Source organism: Homo sapiens, chromosome 10 (assembly GCF_000001405.40).
Source record: "Homo sapiens chromosome 10, GRCh38.p14 Primary Assembly".
Lineage (NCBI taxonomy): Eukaryota > Metazoa > Chordata > Mammalia > Primates > Hominidae > Homo > Homo sapiens.
In genome coordinates, this window is record NC_000010.11 from 112,338,977 (window position 1) to 112,359,433 (window position 20,457).

Genomic DNA, 20,457 nt, shown 5'->3' on the forward strand with positions numbered 1-20,457 from the left:
GGCAGAAACGATGCAGAGAACAGAACAGAGATACACTAAGATCTACGGGCAGCCACCTGGCCTCAGAAATACCTGATAAAGCCCTACTGCGGCATAGAAGAGCTCTTCCCACTGCTGGCTCTTGACAAAAGAGCTGAGGTCCACAGAAATCATCACACTAGATGAGTTACTGTTGATGCCTTTTGACACAGGTGTGGCTCTCTGGGATGGCTGTAAAACAGGAAGTAATTTGGTCACTCTCAGCAGCAAGGCCAAGTACAAAAGGGAATGCATTTTATAGATGAGGAAGCTGAGTGCCAAGGTCAGACAGTTAATAATAAGAGAGCCAGGATTTGAACCCTGATCTTTCTGACCTGTTACATGCATCACTCTAGGACAGCATCATCCAATCATCCATGCCTTCTATGGCATCTGTACCACCATGGAGGTGTAGGTTAAGAGGGAAGGCTCTGAGGTCAGACTGCCCAGACTCAAGTTCTGGCTGTGGCACTTAATTAGATGTGTGGCCTGGGGTTAGAGCCATTTTCTTAAAGAACATCTAACCAAGTTGTCTCTGTTTAACACTCTCAGTGCCTCCCAACACCTAGAAAACACCTTCAAAGCATAGGAATCTTGTTTTCAAGGAGAATCTTATCTGGAACCCTAATGTAGAAATGAGGTAGATCGAAGCAGAGCTGCTTTGGTGGAAGATGGAAGAGTAAGTGTCTGAATCCCCGGGGACGTTTGGAGATGAGTTACTAATGAATCACAGTCACCTGCTCTTAGCATGTTGAAGCCTCCCTGACTTGGTACCAGCTAAGCTTCCCAGCCCTGACCATCCCACATCTCATTATATCCTGTGTACTTCACTCTTTTTCATCACTTGCAAACTCACTCTTCTCAAATGTCACCTCCTCTCCAAAGCCTTCCAGATGCTGAGACCTTCAGTCCCTCCATCTGCAAGGCTTCCATCTCACCGTGGAAACACCTCTCTGACACTTGCCTCCCTCTGGAGGCATCTCATTTGTGGGATATCCCCATACCTTGTATGATGCTTGGCCTGTAGTTAATGGTCAAGTCCCTGTCAAGCAAATGAACATTATTGTATTAGTCATCAATTGATTAAAGGAGTTAATGTGGTTTTGAAAATAACTAAATCCGGCCAGGAGCGATGGCTCATGCCTGTAATCCCAGCACTTTGGGAGGCTGAGGCGAGTGGATCACCTGAGGTCAGGAGTTCGAGACCAGCCTGACCAATATGGTGAAACCCCATCTCTACTAAAAAAAAAATAGAAAAACTTAGCTGGGCATGGTGGCAGGCACCTGTAATACCAGCTACTGGGGAGGCTGAGGCAGGAGAATCACTTGAACTCGGGAGGCAGAGATTGGAGTGAGCCGAGATCGTGCCATTGCACTCCAGCCTGGGCAACAAGAGCGAAATTCCATCTCAAAAAAATTACAAAACAAAAAATAAAATAACTAAATCCTCCCCAGGAGACAGCTTTAATATCTGAACACCATCTACAGTTCTCACCCACAGAGTAACAGAGCAAAGGGAACTTTAGAGACTGTCAATCATTTGTAAGTATTTAGAAACTGAGTCTTGGGGAGGTAAAATGACATTCTCAGATTCAGCAAGCAAGTGGGAGGCCTAGAACCAGAACTCAGGCCTGCAGACTCTTCATGAAGTGCTCACTGAATAAATTAGCCTCTTGCTCTTATAAGCTCCTAGATGAGGTCCCTTCCACACATCTCCAGCAGTGACCAGGAAATGGGACATCTGGGTCACATATGGCCTCACCTTGTTCTGGGGAAGAATGGTGATATCATCAAAATTGATTTGCCACCAGATGTCTTTGTTTTGCCTCTGCATCCTTAAAATCAGACCTATGATGGCAGCTCCCAAGACAGGAATGAGGATCATCAATGTCAGAAGCACAGCAGTCACGCCTGGAGGGTAGAGGCATATTACCCAGGCCTTGCCCAAGAGCAGTAGCAAGTACATCCCTGCCCAGCTGGGCCCAGCCGAGCAGGTTCCTCAAAGGCTGTCCTCTGGAAGGTCTGGGGTAGGACACACAAAGTCTACGCTGACTTGTCTCTTCCAGGAATTCTTCCCTGACTACCACCCTAGTTCCCACTGGAACTGCATTCACCTCCCGCTTTGTATAGAAAGTTCCACTGCAGAGAAATAATAATGATGACTTCTAACTCCACCAGCAGTGTTTACAAAACATTTACTGTGTGTTCTCCTTAGGGTGGTTCTCCAGGCATGATCCATCTAATTCCAGGGCTGGGCTCCTAACCACTGGGGCACACTCCCCTCCCCAGACTCTTTCAACCTCCCTAGAGGTGAAGTTCCTGAGACTCAAATCTCAGGAGCCAGTTTCCCTTAGAGCAGTGATTCTCCACAGGGGAAAAAGGTGATGTTGCCTCCTAGGGGATATTTGGCCATGTCTGGAGACATTTCTCATTCCGACTAGAGGGCTGCTATAGGCATCTGTGGGTAGAGGCCAGGGGTGCCGCTAAACATCTTATAATATACAGGGATGCATGGCTTGAAATGCCAGCCTCCCCATACACAAAAATTACCTGGCCCAAAATGTCAATAGTGCTGCCTGCCATACAGAGACCCTACTATAGAAAGTCTTTCCCTGCTACGTTCTCCAAACAGCCATACTTACCCGTAAAAGCAGACTGAGTTTCACAGAGCTCATTATAAAATCCACAGCCAGGTCTGTCTTCAGGAAGGGAGCCATGCGGCCAGGTCATATTGGAGAAATTCCCTGTGGGTCTTTAAAAAAAAAAATAAAGGTCAGCGTCAGCTCAGTTTGTTCTATTTGACTCTACCTCATGTACAGCAGAGACAACGGAAAAATGCATGTTATTTGCAAAACTCAAGCCTTGGTCTCTCAATTCAAACTTCTGTCCAGTTTGCCCAACTCTCCTAGGCTCTTCAAATCCAGCCTTCAGGTAATCTCATTCAAGGAAGGCAGTATCTTTTTGCTGTTGAAATAGCTTCCTCAATCTTTTGACTTAAACCATGTCTCTTTTGATTTAAAAGATGACATGCCAAGTCAATGTTGCTGGGACTTTCATCTGTGTTTGACGTAGACAAATCTTGTTATATAGCAGCTTGACATTTCACAGAACAAAACATCTCCTCCTATGTGGAGTGTGCCTGTTCTGACAATACTAAAGACCTAGTTTGCCATGGTTACTTTGTTTTCTGGCCCATTTTGGTCCATTAAAATTCCATAAGAGAAGGGGAGAAAAAAGCCTCAAGTTGCCTGGGTGTGGTGGCTTACACCTGTAATCCCAGCACTTTGGGAGGCTGAGGTGGGTGGATCACCTGAGGTGAGGAGTTCAAGATAAGCCTGGCCAACATGGTGAAACCCCGTCTCTACTAAAAATACAAAAATTAGCTGGGTGCAGTGGCATGCACCTGTAATACCAGCTACTCAGGAGGCTGAGGCAAGAGAATCACTTGAACTTGGGAGGCAGTGGTTGCAGTGAGCCCAGATTGTGCCACTGTACTCCAGCCTGGGCAACAGAGCAAGACTGTCTAAAAATTTAAAAAGCCTCAAGTTGAATCTGGATTGGAAGTAGTGGCAGTGGGGGTGAGTGGAAATTGAATTACATCTTAGGTTTCCTTTTAGTTTTCTCATTGATTTGTAGCTGAAAGAACAAAAACAAAGTTTTGTTTTGTTTTTTCCCCAGGATTCCTGGGTTCTGGTTGCTGGTGTCCAAATGTGTCTGGGAGTCAGGCTGTCTAGGTGAGCCATTTCGGGGCCTGTAAACCCATCCCTTCGGGGACGCTGTGCTCCACCACCCGCTCTGGGCCCAGGGCCTCTCCCCTAGACCATGGCCAATGGGACCACTGGTTGGAACACGAGAGGAGAACAGGGCCCTGGTGGAGGTGCAGTTCGTGGGTACTCTGTCCTACACTGAAATCTGAAACGGTCAAGCCATAACCTCAGTCAAGGGAATAAAATCACCTTAAAGGCCCAAAGTCTATCTTCATGAGTTCTAAGAGCACCAGGCTACTTGGGGGATTCTAGGGACTGGATCCCAAACTGGCCTTCCCAGGGCCCTCCTCTTCCTATGTCTCTTTCTGTAGCACAATCTACACTTGCAGAAATGTCCGGCCAGTATCTGATTACTTTGATAACTGTCATAATGAAGAAAAGAAAGTAAAAGGGGCCCATTTTCAGACTTCTGCAGGGCATAGACAGAGTAATCCATGTGCCTTTCTCCCTGGGCATCCACAAACACAGGGCCTGTGATTCCTAGAAAGACAGGAGATTGCACAAGGTCAGGAGAGGGACAGCAACATGTGGCTCAAAATGCCAGCCTGCCCCAACTCAAATCAACAGAACCCCCTTCCCCAACAGCCATTAAAAACCAGACACAGGGTTTCTGTCATTTCAGTGAATCTGAGACAGGGTCAATGGGGACCAGCAAAGGGAAGAAGACAGTTCAGAGATAGCATCCTGTTAGGGTTAAAGGGCCACACTGGGCAGGCAGATGTATTTTCTCAGGCCCACACTGGGGAAGCTCATCCAGCACTTAAAAATAAAAAAAAAAGTTTGTTTCCAGTTAATTTCACTTAAAACCTGAGATTTATGCTTCCCTCGAACAATCAGATGTGACAACATGTCAGCAGTCGTCTGGGGCCGAGGGACAGCTGCTTCCTCCAGTTCCTCCCATCTTCCTCCCCTGACCCCACCCACCCCACGCCTCCATGCTGCCAGGCCCTGGGGCACAAGTTTGCAATCTCTGTTCTCATGGCAGCCCCTTCCCTCCTGGTCTGGGTGCAGAGGCCTTGCAGGCCCTTTGCAGAGGCTTGGTGCAGAGGCTTTACAGGGCCTGATGTGCTGTTTGCTATTTCTTAGAACGTGATTAACTCCACTACTGAAGGAACGCATCTTGGAAGCACAGCTCCTTCACACCCCAAACTAGTACGTAGGTTCTGACAAAGGACTTATTGCTGATTTTGTCCCACAGGGGACAGAACACAAAATTACCACTGATAAAGCACCTAATAAGTGCTGGGCACTGCAGGTGGTGTTGACTTCCCATGTCTAATCCTAATTAACCCTTCAGAAGGGGCACCATCATCTGCTCCCAACAAGCAAAGCTTGGAGGCATGAACTCCTCGGGTCTTCCTGCCAGGGCCACGAAGAGGCACAGCTGGTACACAAACCCAGGCCTATCAGGCCCCAAGTGCCATGTTCTTTCCAGCATGCCACACTGCCTTTCTGCATACACATCCGTGGGCATCCTGAATGTGGGTATTGAGCCTGAGGTTTGCAGGGGAAAGGCCAGAGCTCCTGCGACAACCAGGGCCACTTCTTTCAGTGTGCATTGCGTTCACTGAGCCAAAGCCAGTGGGGTTGGGGGATTCTGCTCCCTAACTCGACCTCCTAGAAGAGGCTTTCCTTCTGGAATGGTGCAAAAGCCCTTCGGCACTGGCCGATGGAGTGGTTGCCACCATGTGGCAGAAATGAACACAGGAAGCAGAGACAAATACTCCAGTTCTGCCAAGGCTAGTCCTGTAGCCCATAAGGGAACAGAAGCCAGTTTGGAAGGGGTGAGGAGGGCCCTTTGGTCATGAGTCCCTGAAAGGGGCCCACGGGTCCCAGAACCAAAGTGGGATGACTCAGGCTCTTAAAGGGCCTCACTGCTCTTCACAACCTCCCCTCATTCCAGCATGAAGAATTTCTAAAACCACAGGAAAGAGGAATTAATTGATCTGGCAGAGGGGATTAAACTGAGAGCAGAAAGAAGGATCCCCCCTTGTGACCTCTCCCCTTTTTAAGCAAATGCCTTAGGGTCTGAAAGGAAAGGAGAGAAGTTGGTGAATATTTCCACTTGCAAAAGGCATTAATAGGGTAAACGCGACCTGCTTCTATGAAAACTTCAAAGAGCAGGCCTTGGCTGCTGTCTTTAAATTTTCAGACAAATTTTAGGTAATAATTTATAAGCCAAAAGCCAAAAAGATAAGCCAAAGCAAGGATAAAAATAGTGACCATTTGGCTAGGCACAGTGGCTCACACCTATGATCCCAGCACTTTGAGACACCAAGGCGGGAGGATCTCTTGAGCCCAAGAGTATGAGACCAACCTGGGTGACAGAGCAAGACCCTATCTCAAAAGAAAAAAAAAAAGAACCTACTATTTAATGAGCACATACTATGTGCCAGGTGCATGTCATATTCTCATTACTCCTATGTTACAGGATAGCAAAGAACATGAGCCCTGGAGAAGGCAGACTTGATTTTGAATCCTGGCTCCACCATCTAATAACTTTGTGACCTTAGACAAGGTACATAACCTCTGTAACCTCAGTTTACTCACCTGAATAATACAGATAGAAATAGTACCTGCCTCATGGGCTGTGTGAGGATTCAATTAGGTAATACTCGGAAGCTCTTAGCACTTGGCCTAGTGTAAGGTAAGCCCTCCCTAAATGCTGGTTATTATTTCTGCATGTGGTAACAGGTGTTATCCCTATCTTACAACTGAGAAAACGAGAACAAGAAAGATCAAAGCAGTTGGTCAGCTGAATGTGATTTGAAAGCGGTTCACTCCCCAACCTATACTCATCCCCACCAGGAAAGCAAGAATGAGACTACAACCCATCTTCAGAAGTCTGTGGTGCCAGGGCCCCCATCACAGAGGCTGCAGATGGGAAGTGACCCCGGGAGACAGGTCTCACATTTCTGAATTTTATTCTTGATGGACTCAGTTTGAATGGAACTGCGGGGGAGAATTCCCAGGGGAAAGGGGATAAGGTGCCCAGCAGCCTCCTCTCCTGGTCTGGGCAGGCTCTGGCCAGAAGGATGAGCGAACTGTGGGAGCTGGGAGGTCTTAACCTCAACTACACTTACAGAAGGAAGACAGGAATCCCCATAAGAAAGATGAATTCTGGAGTTCAGTGTGAGGCAGGCCCTGAAAGAGGCCTTTAATTACATGCCCAAGATCTCAAAGCCCCCACCGACTGGAGCCGCAGGTCTGAGTTTAGAACACCCTCCAGCAGTAAGCCACCTACCCTGCACTGTGGTCTGACTGGAACCCTTCAGAGCGCTGACCAGCTGCCACCCATCCTGGAAGTCGCCTCCAGCCTTTACCACCTGCTTCACGGTCTCAGCATAGAGCAGGACGGCGTCGTGAAGGTAGGCAGAGTAAGGGCTCACCTTCAATAAGACAAGCAAAGCAGGGTCTCAAGAGGTTCTTGGCCTCTTGGGTCACCGTCCAGCACTAAATTAGGAGGAATCTCTGTTCCGTCCGCCCGGCAGTGGCACACAGCACTTTCTTCCCCCATCCCACAGAGCAGAGGGTCCAGCATACACCTGCGCCTGCACTATGAAACCCAGACGTCGCAGTCTTCATTTTCCTTCTGAATGCTGCGTTTCCCACTTAGATCTTCTGATCCTTCAGGGACGCTCTTCAGGCCACAGGTGGGAGGGAGCATGGTTTCAGGGAAAGAGGGTACATGCTGGAACTAGACCAGCTCAGCTCCCTACTGGCTATGAGTCCCGAGGTAAGTTCCACAGCCTCTCTGAATCTCAGCTCACTCGTTTATAAAATGGGGATAGGCTGGGCGCGTTGGCTCACGCCTGTAATCCCAGCACTTTGGGAGGCCAAGGCGGGCGGATCACGAGGTCAGGAGTTGGAGACCAGCCTGGCCAACATAGTGAAACCCCATCTTTACTAAAAATACAAAAATTAGCCCAGCGTGGTGGCAGGTGCCTGTAATCCCAGCTACTCAGGAGGCTGAGGCAGGAAAATCACTTGAACCCAGGAGGCAGAGGTTACTGTGAGCCGAGATTGCGCCACTGCACTCCAGCCTAGGTGACAGAGCGAGACTCCATCTCAAAAAAAAAAAAAGGAGGGGGATAAAACTGCTGTTGGGTTGAATGTGACAATAGTTAAATGAGGCATAATAGGTAAACTATCCATTGCAGTCCCTGACCCTTAGTAGGTCTTCAGGACGTGATGTCTTCTATTGGGCAGTCAAGGAAAATACAAGTGCCTACTAAGTGCCAGGCACTGTTCTCCCAACAGTACCAGATACAAAGCTGACACTTAGTAGACTGTTACTCAAATATTCTTTAATTGGTTATCTTGTCTTATATGTTGGGATCCACAATCGGCCCCCTCATTTCTAATCAAACTCCTTGTCATCAGTGGCCTGTGGTCACCTTAGGCTTCAGCTTGGCCCCACACTGGAAGTAGCTCCAGCTCTGGACAAAGGTCTCTCTTCAAAAACTTCTCTGTGAAAGCCAGATACTGCCTCCTCATCACACACATACTGGGATTACCACAGGCGGACCCTCTCTCTCCTGATCATCTCCTCCCTTTTCCAGCCCACCTGCTGGCCCTGACCTGTCCTAGCTCCACATCTCTGACCACTCCATCCTGGGTCTAGGTCCTGGCATCCTCCTGGGGAAGGAAATTGTCATGGTCTGGGTACCCATTAATATCTGTTCTGGGCCAGGCACAGTGGCTCACGCCTGTAATTCTAGCACTTTGGGAGGCCAAGTCAGAAGGATTGCTTGAGCCCAGGAGTTCAAGAGCTGCCTTGGCAACATAGGGAAATCGCGTCTCTACAAAAAAAATTTTTTTTTAATTATCAAGACATGATGGCATGTGTCTATATTTCCAGCTACTTAGGAGGCTGAAGTGGGAGGGTTGCTTGGGCCCAGGAAGTCGAGGATGTAGTGAGCATGACTGCACCACTGCACTCTAGCCTGGGTGACACAGCGAGACCTTCCCTCAAAAGAAGAAGATATATACTTTGCTTCTTCCATGGACAATGTTACTAAATACACACCACCACAGCCTGGGAGGTAGATGCCATTATCAGTCCCATTTCACAGAAGAAGAGACCGAGGTGTAGGGAGGTTAAGCAATTCACTACAAGGTCCTACAGTTAGCAAACAGCAGCAGTAGGATGGGGGCATAGGCCTCTGCTCCAAAGGCCTTTCACCCAGTAACCTCTGAGGTATAAATTCACAAGAGAGCATCAAACTGCTGTTTATTTTGGGCGTGGAAGATGGGGAAGTGCATGTGTGTGTGCACCTGCATGTGTGTAAGGGGGGTAGGGAGAGATGAGGAGAAATAAGAGGGAGAAATGCAAAGGCAAACACAAATATGATCAAAGAAGGGGAGGAGGGAGCCTGAGCTGGAAGACCCGGCATCACACCTGCTCCTCCCAGGAGATGGTGCTGCGGAAGGGCGACCTCCTCGGTGTTTGGTAGACTTGTTTCCAAAAGCCTTCGTCTCCACGGCCTTTTCTGTAGGAGCTGAGGGCAATGAGAAGCAGTGACCCATACACCTTTTGGAGGTGCATCATTTTCTGATTTGTCAGTACTTCCTTCCAAAAACGGTCCTAAAAAGTAATAAAATAAATGTTGTTATTCGGTAGGAAATGCCTTGGCAAGGGCACTGCGTGTAACACAATGTTTAATTTGAACCACTACATTCTAATTCCTGGAAACACAGTGATTCCAGAAGGCCTGCAATACAAGGTCCACATTCTCTAGCTGGCATATAAGCAGTGGAAGGAAAGCCACAAATAAAAAGAAAAAATGTTCCTGGTGCATACAGCTGCTAAGATGCAGAAAGCTTACCTACTAACAATGATTGCAAAAACTTAAAAAGCTTAAGACTATAGATTCTTGCTTTTTTTAAATTTTTTTTGCTTGTGGCATTATCATTATAATCTACGTTACTATTATGAACAGTATATACCCACTCATTATACATATATGTATGTATATATACATATATATGACATCACACTCACACATATATATATATATATGATGATATCATACCATAATGCAGCTTGATTTTTTTCCACCTAAACCTATACTGGGAATAGTTTCATAAAATAGATTTATGCTATTCTTTCATGAAGCAGCATGAATTCAATTGCATAGACATTGGTGTATTCTTAGTTCTACCTTCTTTCTGCCATTACACACCAGTTGGAATGGATCATCAATGTGTGGGAGAAAGCAACAGGGGAGTTGAAAAGTTTCCCTGCCAAAACAATGTGCCTGAAGGCAGAGATGAGAGGAAAAGTGAAGAGAAAGGGAGGCGGTCACAATGGATATCTAGGGTAAGAGAGTGTTCTGGAAAGTCTGGCATGCCTTTAGGATTCCAGCTCCCTACCCAAAGAAATCTGAGATGCTTTTGTGGATCTGAAAGACTTCATGATAAAGAAAGAAAAATCTGGGACATTACTATATATCTCCCTTTATTTTCTTCTGTCCTATTTCAGCTTCTTGTGATTTTTTTAAAAAGCTTATTTTAGAAAGATAAAACTGCTAGAAAAATAATGCACCGTGTCCATAGGAAAAGGCAAGTAGCTTTTGTAGATGCCTGTTGTGTAAGATGCTTACAAGCACAGACACAATAGCCCCCTGTGAGGCAGATACTACGTGCATTATTTCCATGCATCAGTGCACTTGATGAGAGGTAGAAAAGGAGCCCAGGCCACCTGGGTTTGAATGCTAGCTCTCCCTCATACTAGTTGGATGGCCTTGGGCAAGTTTTGGCACCTCTCTGAACCTCAGTTTCCTCTTCTGTAAAACGAGGATGATAAAAGTGAGGTGACAACGTGCTAGCAGCCCTCGCTCGCTCTTGGCGCCTCCTTGGCCTCGGCGTCCACTCTGGCGGTGCTTCAGGAGCCCTTCAGCCCGCCGCTGCACTGTGGGAGCCCCTTTCTGGGTTGCCCGAGGCCGGAACCAGCTCCCTCTGCTTGCAGGGAGGTGTGGAGGGAGAATCGCGGGCGGGAACCGGGGCTGGGTGCCGCTCGCTGGACAGCGTGAGTTCCGGGTGGGGGTGGGCTCCGCACTCGGAGCTCCGGCCAGCGCCGCCAGCCCCGGGCAGTGAGGGGCTCAGCACCTGGGCCAGCGGCTGCGGAGGGTTCACCGGGTGCCACAGCACTGCCGGCCCGTCCGCGCCACACTCGAATTCTCACCGCGCCTCAGCTGCCTCCCCACGCGGCAGGGCTTAGGACCTGCAGCTGCCATGCCTCCCCTCCGCCCCCCCCGCCACCAGTGGGCTTCCGCGCAGCCCCAGCGTCCCCAAAGGGCCCCGCCCATCGACCGCCCAAGGGCTGAGAAGGGTGGGTGCGTGGCTTGGGACTGGCAGGCAGCTCCGCAGGCGGCATCCACTAGGCGAAGGCAGCAGGGTTCCTGAGTTGGGTCGGCACTTGGAAAACTTTTATGTCTAGCTAAAGGATTGTAAACACACCAATCAGCACTCTGTCTAGCTCAAGGTGTGTAAACGCACCAATCAGCACCCTGTCAAAATGGACCAATCAGCTCTCTGTTAAGTGGACCAATCAGCAGGATGTGGGTGGGGTCAGATAAGGGAATAAAAAGCTGCGTGGGCTAACAGCGATAACCCTTTTGGGTTCTTTTTGGAAAGTTTGTTGTCTTGCTTTTTGGGCTAAAGTTTTGCTGCTGCTTGCTCTAGCTCTATGTTACCTTTGTGAGCTATAACATGGTGCGAAAGTCTGCAGCTTTACTCCTGAAGCTGCCGAGACCGTGAACCCACTGGGAGTGATGAACGATTCCGGATGCGCCACCTGTAACAGCTGTAGCACTCACTGTGAAGGTCTGTAATTTCACTCCTGAGGCCAGCGAGACCACAAACCCACGTGAAGGAATGAACAATTCCAGCCACGCTGCGTTTAAGAGCTGTAACATTTACCGTGAAGGTCTGCAACTTCACTCCTTAAGTCAGCGAGACCACAAACCCACCAAAAGGAAGAAACTCCAGACACATCTGAACATGTGAAGGAACAAACTCCGGACACACCATCTTTAAGAGGTGTAACACTCACCTCGAGGGTTCGCAGCTTCGTTCTTGAAGTCAGTGAGACCAAGAACCCACCAATTTCCAGATCCAAAATACCCCATGGTGTGGTGGTGGGCTGCAATAAGCGTTAATGTATTAAGCACTCACAGTGAGGCCCAGTACTCCATAAGCTCTCCAGAAGGCAGAGTTGTGTGGGGTGAGCTCAGACTGAAAGGCCCAGTCTGGAAGACTAGGTATGCCACTTGGGAGTGCTGAAATCTTAGATAAGGTACCTTAATTAAGCCTTGGGTTTTTTTACCTGTACATTGGAATAACAATAATATCTACCTTCCAAGGCTGTTCGAAATACCAAATACAAAATGTACAGGCACATAAATAATGCATTTAGGAACTGCCTTGCAAAGCCATTGAGAATATTAAGTGCAATCGTGTGTAAAATGTGTAACTCAGTCCTCATAGTAAGCAGTTGTGTTTTTAGCCATTCTCATTACCAAAAGAATCAGACTGCCTAAGAATTGCTTCGTTGCATCTGTATGTTGGTCTTTCCAGCCCTTTGTTAAAGCTTCAGCAGGGACACGGCGGTAGCTGTGGAAGAAAAAGAAGTGAGAGCCGCTTGTGTCTGAGGGTCCCTTGGGAAGGTCTCAGCTGCCCGGTAGAAATGACAGTAGTTCCTCAACTGTTGTTGTCTGATACGGAATACAGCGGGCTAGGCCTTCAAGCCAGCTGACCTAGTTCATGGCCTGGTTCAGCCTTTCACTAGCTGTGGAGAAGAACTCTGGGCAAGTTCTTCCAGCTCTGTCTTAGTGTCCTAATTTTAAGAAGAGGACGCGAGAGTGCCTACCTCACAGGGTTGTAGTGAGTGCTCAGTGAGCTAATACATGTGGGTCATAACGAGTGCTCCATACTTGCTACCTCTTACTACCAGAGCCATTGAGTGGTCAACGGTACCCACCTCCAACTGCTGCAAAATGATGAAAACAAATTCTCCAGTGCTGAGTCCCAGGTTTGCTGCAGCCAGAAGAATAATTTTTGCATCCTCTGAGCTGCACGTTAAGATGATAACTATAAGAATGAAAACCAGAGTCCGCCAGTTGCACATGCTTGTGTATGTGTGCTTTCTCACGCATGCTCTCACTCTAAGTCTGGCCTAAAGTCACTGTAAATGAGACGTGAACTTTTTCTTTCCTTGGGCATGCCTTAAGAAACAGGAATGCCTAAACTAGTCCCTGAGTTTTTACATTCTTTAACCAAACCTGAAGTGTACAAACTAGCAGTTATAGCACTGAAGTCTTTGCTGCAGCCTCCCCACAATGTACAAGTGAAAAAAGTTTGGGATCACCTCTGTGCTCTAGGTTTTTTTTTTCTTTTTGGCTCAAAAATCAGAACAGCAGACCTGGCTTGTGACTTGTCAGCCACACTTCAGCTAAGAGGAGTTCACAGAGGACCTTTGGACATGTGGACTTTCAAGGGCATTTGGACTTTCTGAGTTGGGCTGGCCGGAGGGAGGAGTAGGCCATGGTACTTTTCTGCCGTTTAATCCCATCACCGTTCATTTTCAGAATACACAAATGAAGTAGTGGGTTTTATTTTTTATTTATTTATTTTTGAGACAGAGTCTGCTGTATTGACCAGGCTGCATGGAGTACAATGGTACAATCTCGGCTCACTGCAACCTCCGCCTCCTGGGTTCAAGCAATTCTTATGTCTCAGCCTCCAGGACAGCTGGGATTACAGGCATGCACCATCACACCTGGCTAATTTTTGTATTTTTAGTAGGGACAGCATTTCACCATGTTGACTAGGCTGGTCTCCAACTCCTGGCCTTGAATGATCTGCCCACCTCAGCCTCCCAAAGTGCTGGGATTACAGGCGTGCGCCAACGCACCCAGCTAGTTTTTTAAATGAAGTAATTTATAGTCTATTTATCTGAGCTCCAATTATGTGTCAGGCACTTTGCTGGGCACAGACATAGCAGTGAACGAGCCAGCAGACAGCATACAAGTGGACAGATTAAAGAGATCATTGAAGATTCTAATTAGTGAGGTTGGAAACGGATGCTGTGATGCTAATGGGTGGGGAGGGGAAACAGCTTCACATCAAGTGGTTAGAGAAGGCCTTCCTGAGGAGGTGGGCTCTGGACCCAGTCGGCAAGGATGCAAGGATGAGAGGACGCTACCCTTAAGAAGGTGCTGGGTAGGGTGGAATGTGACTGAGACCACATAACAATTGCCTCATTGGATCAGTGTTGGTCTTTCAAGCCCTTTATTAGAGATTCAACAGGGACACAGGGAGGTAGCTGTGGAAGAAAAACAAGTGAGAGCCACTTGTGCCTTAGAGTCCCACATTAGCATCACTGGTTGGAGTGGGTGCAGGTGACACCCTAGGCCAAGGGAGTAGAAAACCCTAAAGTCTCAGGGCTGGAGAGAGTTCAGTTTATTTGAGGAACAGAAAGGAGTCAGTTACTAATTCATGCTAGAAAGTTGAGCCTTATAGGCATCACCACAAAAATAATTGCTGTCATATGTTGACCAACTACTTGTCCAGACATGGTGCTAAGCACTTTACAGGCATAACCTTATTTAATCCTCCCCTTTCTGTGACATAGGTAGGATGGTTGTCTCCATTTTATAGAAAAGATATTTGAGATACAGAGAGATTAAGGTACTTACCCAAGGAGGACACAGCTAAAATGTCAGAGACTGGATTCAAACCTAGGTCTGTCAATCTGCAGAGCCCATGCTGTAAACAAATAGTGAAGTCCAGGACCCAGCCCACCTGTAAGATGCTTCTAGAACTTGCGCTGTGTATCATAACACTGTAGCATGTGGGGTTTTACTTTAGACCAAAAAAAAAAACCCACAATTTTTTGTTAGTGATGTCAAGCAATAAAGGAAGTTGCTTTTATATATTATTAATTTTGTACCTTGTTTCCATCTGCTTTTACACTCATAGAAAAGTGAAGAGTTTTTTGGGTTGTTTTTTTTTTTTTCAAATCTGCTTGTCCCATTTTTCTCTCCAAATAAAAGCAACAGAAGACTTTTCTACTTACCCCTGGCAATTGATGATATCCTCCAAAGATGCTCTTGAAGAAGGACTAGACTATTGTTGGTGTATCTCATGCTGGCAGTGATGATAAAATGGGATTTGAGTTCATTCTCTACAACCCTCCACAGTTCATCCACTCCATCCCAGGAGGAAGCCCCAGAGTAGCCTCCAAACATCCCAATGTGTTTCCAGCCCAGGTACTGGAGACTTTCCTGGAGCACATCACCAATGTCCTGCTTGGGTGACACAAGTTTCACACAGGTGTCAGACAGTTTTGTGGTTTGTCCAACAAAGTCAAACATGGGGTGTTCCACTCAGAGGCCAGCAAGCCGATAACCTTGAAAATAACCCAAAGGATGTCTTTGTATAATTGAGTTTATGTACACGCAAACCCCAGTGTGAGACATCTGCATAAACGTCAGATTCTGTGAGTCTGTGGGTCATACTGGGCCCTCGCTTTTGTAATGTTGATGACAACGTCAGCCTCATAGAACAAAGATAACGAAAGCGAGCATCAATTGAGCACTTACTCTGTGCCGAGCACTCTAGGAGCTTACATGTGTCATTTCAACTTTCACAACATTTCTAGGTATTATTACCCCCTCTTTAAGATAAAACAGGAAGACACAGAGATGTAAGTTACATAGCTAGCAAATAGTGGAGCAGGGTTGGAAATTAGGTAATATGGTTCCATGGCCCACAGTCATAACTACTCATTCTCTCTTTCTTAATTTCTCCTTTATTCATTTTTCATTCATTTTAATTAGGGGCCTATCACATATAAAAATCTTTGGAGACCTTGCTCTTGAAGGAGCTCATGGTTTATTACAAGAACCAAGGTATATAAAAAATAGCTTTAAGATTAAATATATTCTTTAAGATGCATAGATAATAGATTTATAGGCATTTAGAGAAGTAAACAATTACTTTCGATTGGGGAATTAGGGATAAGGAGGGCAGAGGTGAAGGGATAAAGAAAGGCTCCATGACATTTGATATTAACTCTTAGACAAGTAACCCTTGAACAGATAGAAATGTGTCAGATGGGGAATTCCAGGAGAGAATGGGTCCAATTTAAATGTAAACTTAATTCTGCAGCTCCAGCTAATGATAGTTCTGCAACATTGTTGAGAGTAAGACCTGTGCTGCTCCTTCCTGTTCACCTTTTGCATCAACACTTTTCAGGCGACATGATACTGAAGGACACCAACAAAGTTCATCCCAACAACCAAACAAATACAAGTCATTCATTTCCCTCATTTTCTTGCTGTAGGTAAGGTAGGCTGCCATACTTGATTCTTTCTCATTGACTTGCATTATCACTGATTAATTTATTATATACGCCAAAGAAAAGCCTACTCAAACAATTGATAGTTTTCTATTTAAAACCAAGCATTTGTTTCTTCTTCTTCTTCTTTTATTTATTTATTTATTTATTTATTTATTTATTTTTTGAGACGGAGTCTTGCTGTGTCACCCAGGCTGGAGTGCAGTGGCACAATCTCGGCTCACTGCAAGCTCTGCCTCCGGGTTCACGCCATTCTCCTGCCTTAGCCTCCCGAGGAGCTGGGACTACAGGCATGCGCCACCATGCCCGGCTAATTTTTTTGTATTTTTTTTTAGTAGAGACGGGGTTTCACTGTGTTAGCCAGAATGGTCTCCATTTCCTGACCTCGTGATCCACCCTCCTTGGCCTCCCAAAGTGCTGGGATTACAGGCGTGAGCCACTGCGCCTGGCTGCATTTTTTTCTTCTTAATTTTCCTAAGCTTTGTAGCTTAGGAACATGAGAGTGAACTATAAGAGTCTATACACAATAGCATCAACTTCAGACAGTCAACAAGAGGAGGAAGAGGGTAGGTGAATAAACAATTATTGATTTGAAAGGCTTTCTGGCCATATGTGGTGGCTCACGCCTGTAATCCCAGCACTTTAGGAGGCCGAGACCAGTGGATCACCTGAGGTCAGGAGTTTGAGAGCAGCCCGGACAACATGATGAAACCCTGTCTCTATTAAAAATACAAAAATTAGCTGAGCATGGTGGGGCACTCCTGTAATCCCAGCTACTCGGGAGGCTGAGATGGAAGAATCGCTTAAACTTGGGAGGCAGAGGCTGCAGTGAGCCAAGATCATGCCACTGCACTCCAGCCTGGACAACAGAGCATTAAAAAAAAAAAGAAAGAAAGAAAGGCTTTCTTTAAAGAGAATGTTAACTCTTCTAATTACATAGACTAATTGCATCTCAAAAATGATATTCAAGATCTACACGGTTATTGTTATAATAATGTGATCCTTGTCAGGAGATTACTCAAATCTGTACCATCATCTTGAAGGCCACCCCTTCCAATGGAAACTTAAAGTTTCCAGAGGCTATATATACTCTACCTCAGCTGCTTCTGGGCATGCTGGTCCAAACAGGGCAGAAATCTGTTCGTTCTGGACCTGGTTGTTGAAAATAGCAAGAGACTCCTTGGTGCTGCAGGCTGAGTTGGTGTAAGTGGTGAAATTTCCAAGGTCCACTAGCTCTGAGTTGACCTTGTCCATGGCAATCTGGAGGCCTGCACCCAGCCTTTGCATGCTGAATGGATGGGAGATGTTCCAGGGGGTCTGGAAGCCTACGGTGAGTTTAGCAGCCTCAAGGCAAGTCACCAGCACACTGGCAAAGAGCATCAGAACTAGTGTTGGGTGCTCAGCATGACATTCAATCCCTGAACAGAGCCCAGACTCAATTGGGGCCTCAAGACATGGTTTGAGAGCCATGGATGGCATGTAACACCTGTGTCACTGCAGAACTGTGAGAGGCTCAGCCTCCTGATTACTCACGCCAGGAACTTACATGACAGTGTAGAGTTCCCCGAGGATCACAGCTTGCTTTCTATTCAGTGCCATTAATTAACCGAAACTCTCCCTTTTCTGAGTCTGTCTTAATACCATCTAGAAGCAGCAGCCTTGCAGAAGGAGGCCAAGGCAGCTAGTCAGCAGGGTCCTGGTGATTGATCCAGTGACATCCCTGACAAACTTCACATTCCTGGGCAAGTCACATGACCCCTCTGTCCCTCTCCACCGGTAAAATAAGAACCACAGAAATGACTCAAATGGAGTCAGATGGCCCGGGCTGGAATTCTGACTCCATCACACATTAGTTGAGTGACCTAGAACATATTACTTCCCCTTTCTATGCCTTAATCTCCTGCTCTGTAAAACAGGGATAAAACTGTAATAAGGTCTTCCGTGAAGTGATATGGTAAAGATTAAAAGAGATCATACAAGACTAGCCCTTGGCAAAATACCTGGGCAAAGAGAGCCAGTCCATCAGTATTAGATTTGACAATGGTGTTGATGATGATGATGATCCCAGTAATAGTGATAATAATTATCACTTCCTGATTCCATCTTCTAGGAAATTTTTATGAAATAAGTAAGCTTATGGCTATAAGGTTTACTGAAAGGTTGACACAGTCTGTATCCCTCACCCAGGCCTTTAGGGCGCTTGAGATTGGTTATTGATGCATGAAATACTAACCCTCCCTCTACACAGGTCAGGGCAAGGAGCTGGGGGCAGCTCTCAATTGTCTGAAATATCACAGGGATGACAGGACCCTTGAGAAGCCATTGCTACTGCCAAGTAAGATGGCCCAGCTATCAGCCAGGAAAATCCACATGAATATAAAGGGTTGAATTCCCACCTACTGTGGGCTTGCTTTCTGATTACTCTGGCAGGGAAGGGGCTGGCATCTCACGTTCATCTCAGTATTATGTGAGCACAGTCGACTCGCTATGAGTCTCAAGTCTTGATCTAAGGACCACCTACCTCAGTCTCTCCTGATGGTTAGAAATGAAGATTCCAGGGCTTCACTCCAGACCCTCTGAACCAGAATGTTTTGAGGTTGCTCTGGGAATCCATGTTTAACAGGTCCTCATATATCCCTAAGTACACTAAAGTATGAGAACCCCTGGCAGACTGAAGTGAGAAGAGGGAAAGAATAGCCAATAGCTATTCTCTACTTATCTTCCTTGAGGAGCAAGCCCCCAGGATGGAATTAAGGAGACTTAGCTTTGGCTATCTCAGAGGGCCATTTCTAAACCCATGGATTAGGGGAGTTGCTTTTCTCCAAACCAAATTCATCATAACTGCTTCTTCACTGACCTGCAGTTTCTCTGTCTCCTCTGCTAGGACGGCTTGGAGTCAATTTGCAAAATCATCTGAGTCCAAAAACTCACTGGAACCATAAGCAAAATCCCATGAATCATTTTTGGCTCAGATGCTTACATGATGTTGGACAAGTCAGTTAAATCTGTGCCTCAGTTTCCTGAAAGTCAAAATGAGCAGAGTAACACCCCTCCTGGAAGGATGCTATAAAGATACTGTGAGATTGCATGATTACTTAGAATGGTGCCTCACAATTATTAGGAATCAGTAAAGGAATTCTGTTAATAGATGTGTCATTGCACATGTCATGGTCTCAAAACTAGAACACTGGAAACAATATGTTATCTATGCACTTTTTGTTCCCTCCCCCACCTTCCATATGTATACTTTCTTTGATTTGTATTCCCACACTGGGTCATTTCTGATTCTTTGTGTTTACAGATTGTCTTTGTCCTGAGAATCTTTGAGCCAGGTGACTGTGTGTGTCTTTTTTGGATCCTAATATTCAGCACAGTATTAGGCCTCTAGACAAGCAAATTAATATTAATCATAACAAGTATAAGTATTTTGTATTCTTAAATGCTTACAAGTGAGCATGGTCAAAACCAGAAGAAAATACTGATGATGTTCAGTGTTGTTGGGAGTTTAAGAAACAGACATACACTGGCTGGTAGGAATGTTCATTAACAGCAGTTCTTCAATATGCACCAAACTTTAAGAATGTGTGCATATTGGACTCAAAACTCTAATTTGGGGGATTTATTACAAATAAATAAAATCATATGATCAGATTTAAACACAGTGTTATTTCTAACAGTCAAAATTTAGACACAAGCTTCATTGTCCAACAGAGAGACCAGGATAAATAACATGTAGTGAATTCATATGACTGAGTGGCATGCAATCACTAAAAATAATATTTTATATATGTAGAAATACATATAGATATATTATGTATATTTCTATATATATTATATATATATTTCTATATATTATTATATATATATTTCTATATATATATATATTCCTGGGGGCCCTGCTGAGTGATGACAGCAAATTTCTCTTCAGTTCGGGCTTACAGGTTCCTAATGGGAACATTCCTGAAGGTAGAGCACACCGTGTACTCACTATTCCAGAAATAAGAGCAAGTAAACGTGTCTGTGACCTGTCAGGGTGTGAACCGCAAACATAGATAAATATGTATCTATTTATCTATATAAATATGTATCTATATATATCTCTATACATATATATCTATATATAAATAGATATCTATCTATATATCTATATATAAATATATATATATTCTCTTAGAAAGATAGCCGCAGTGTATTGCTAACTGATGAAGCACATCATACAATAATATATATTAGTATTCCATTTTGTTTTTTTTTTCAAAAGGAAAGATTACATACAACAAACCACTAAAAGTGGCTCGCTCTGTGTCA

At 45.7% G+C, this 20,457-nt stretch overlaps 1 pseudogene across 1 annotated transcript in view; it reads right to left on the bottom strand.

Moving 5' to 3' along the window:
• GUCY2GP (guanylate cyclase 2G, pseudogene) overlaps positions 1-17,619 on the bottom strand; it is a 48,418-nt pseudogene extending 30,799 nt beyond the window's left edge. The window contains exons 1-9 of the transcript NR_028134.1: positions 17,245-17,619; positions 14,866-15,198; positions 12,769-12,878; positions 9,187-9,372; positions 7,030-7,174; positions 2,661-2,770; positions 1,781-1,929; positions 1,023-1,060; positions 73-210 (exon numbers count right to left, since the gene is read on the bottom strand). The product of NR_028134.1 is annotated as a guanylate cyclase 2G, pseudogene (transcript). The remainder of the gene's footprint in view (positions 1-72; positions 211-1,022; positions 1,061-1,780; positions 1,930-2,660; positions 2,771-7,029; positions 7,175-9,186; positions 9,373-12,768; positions 12,879-14,865; positions 15,199-17,244) is intronic.
• Between the last annotated feature and the right edge of the window lie 2,838 nt (positions 17,620-20,457).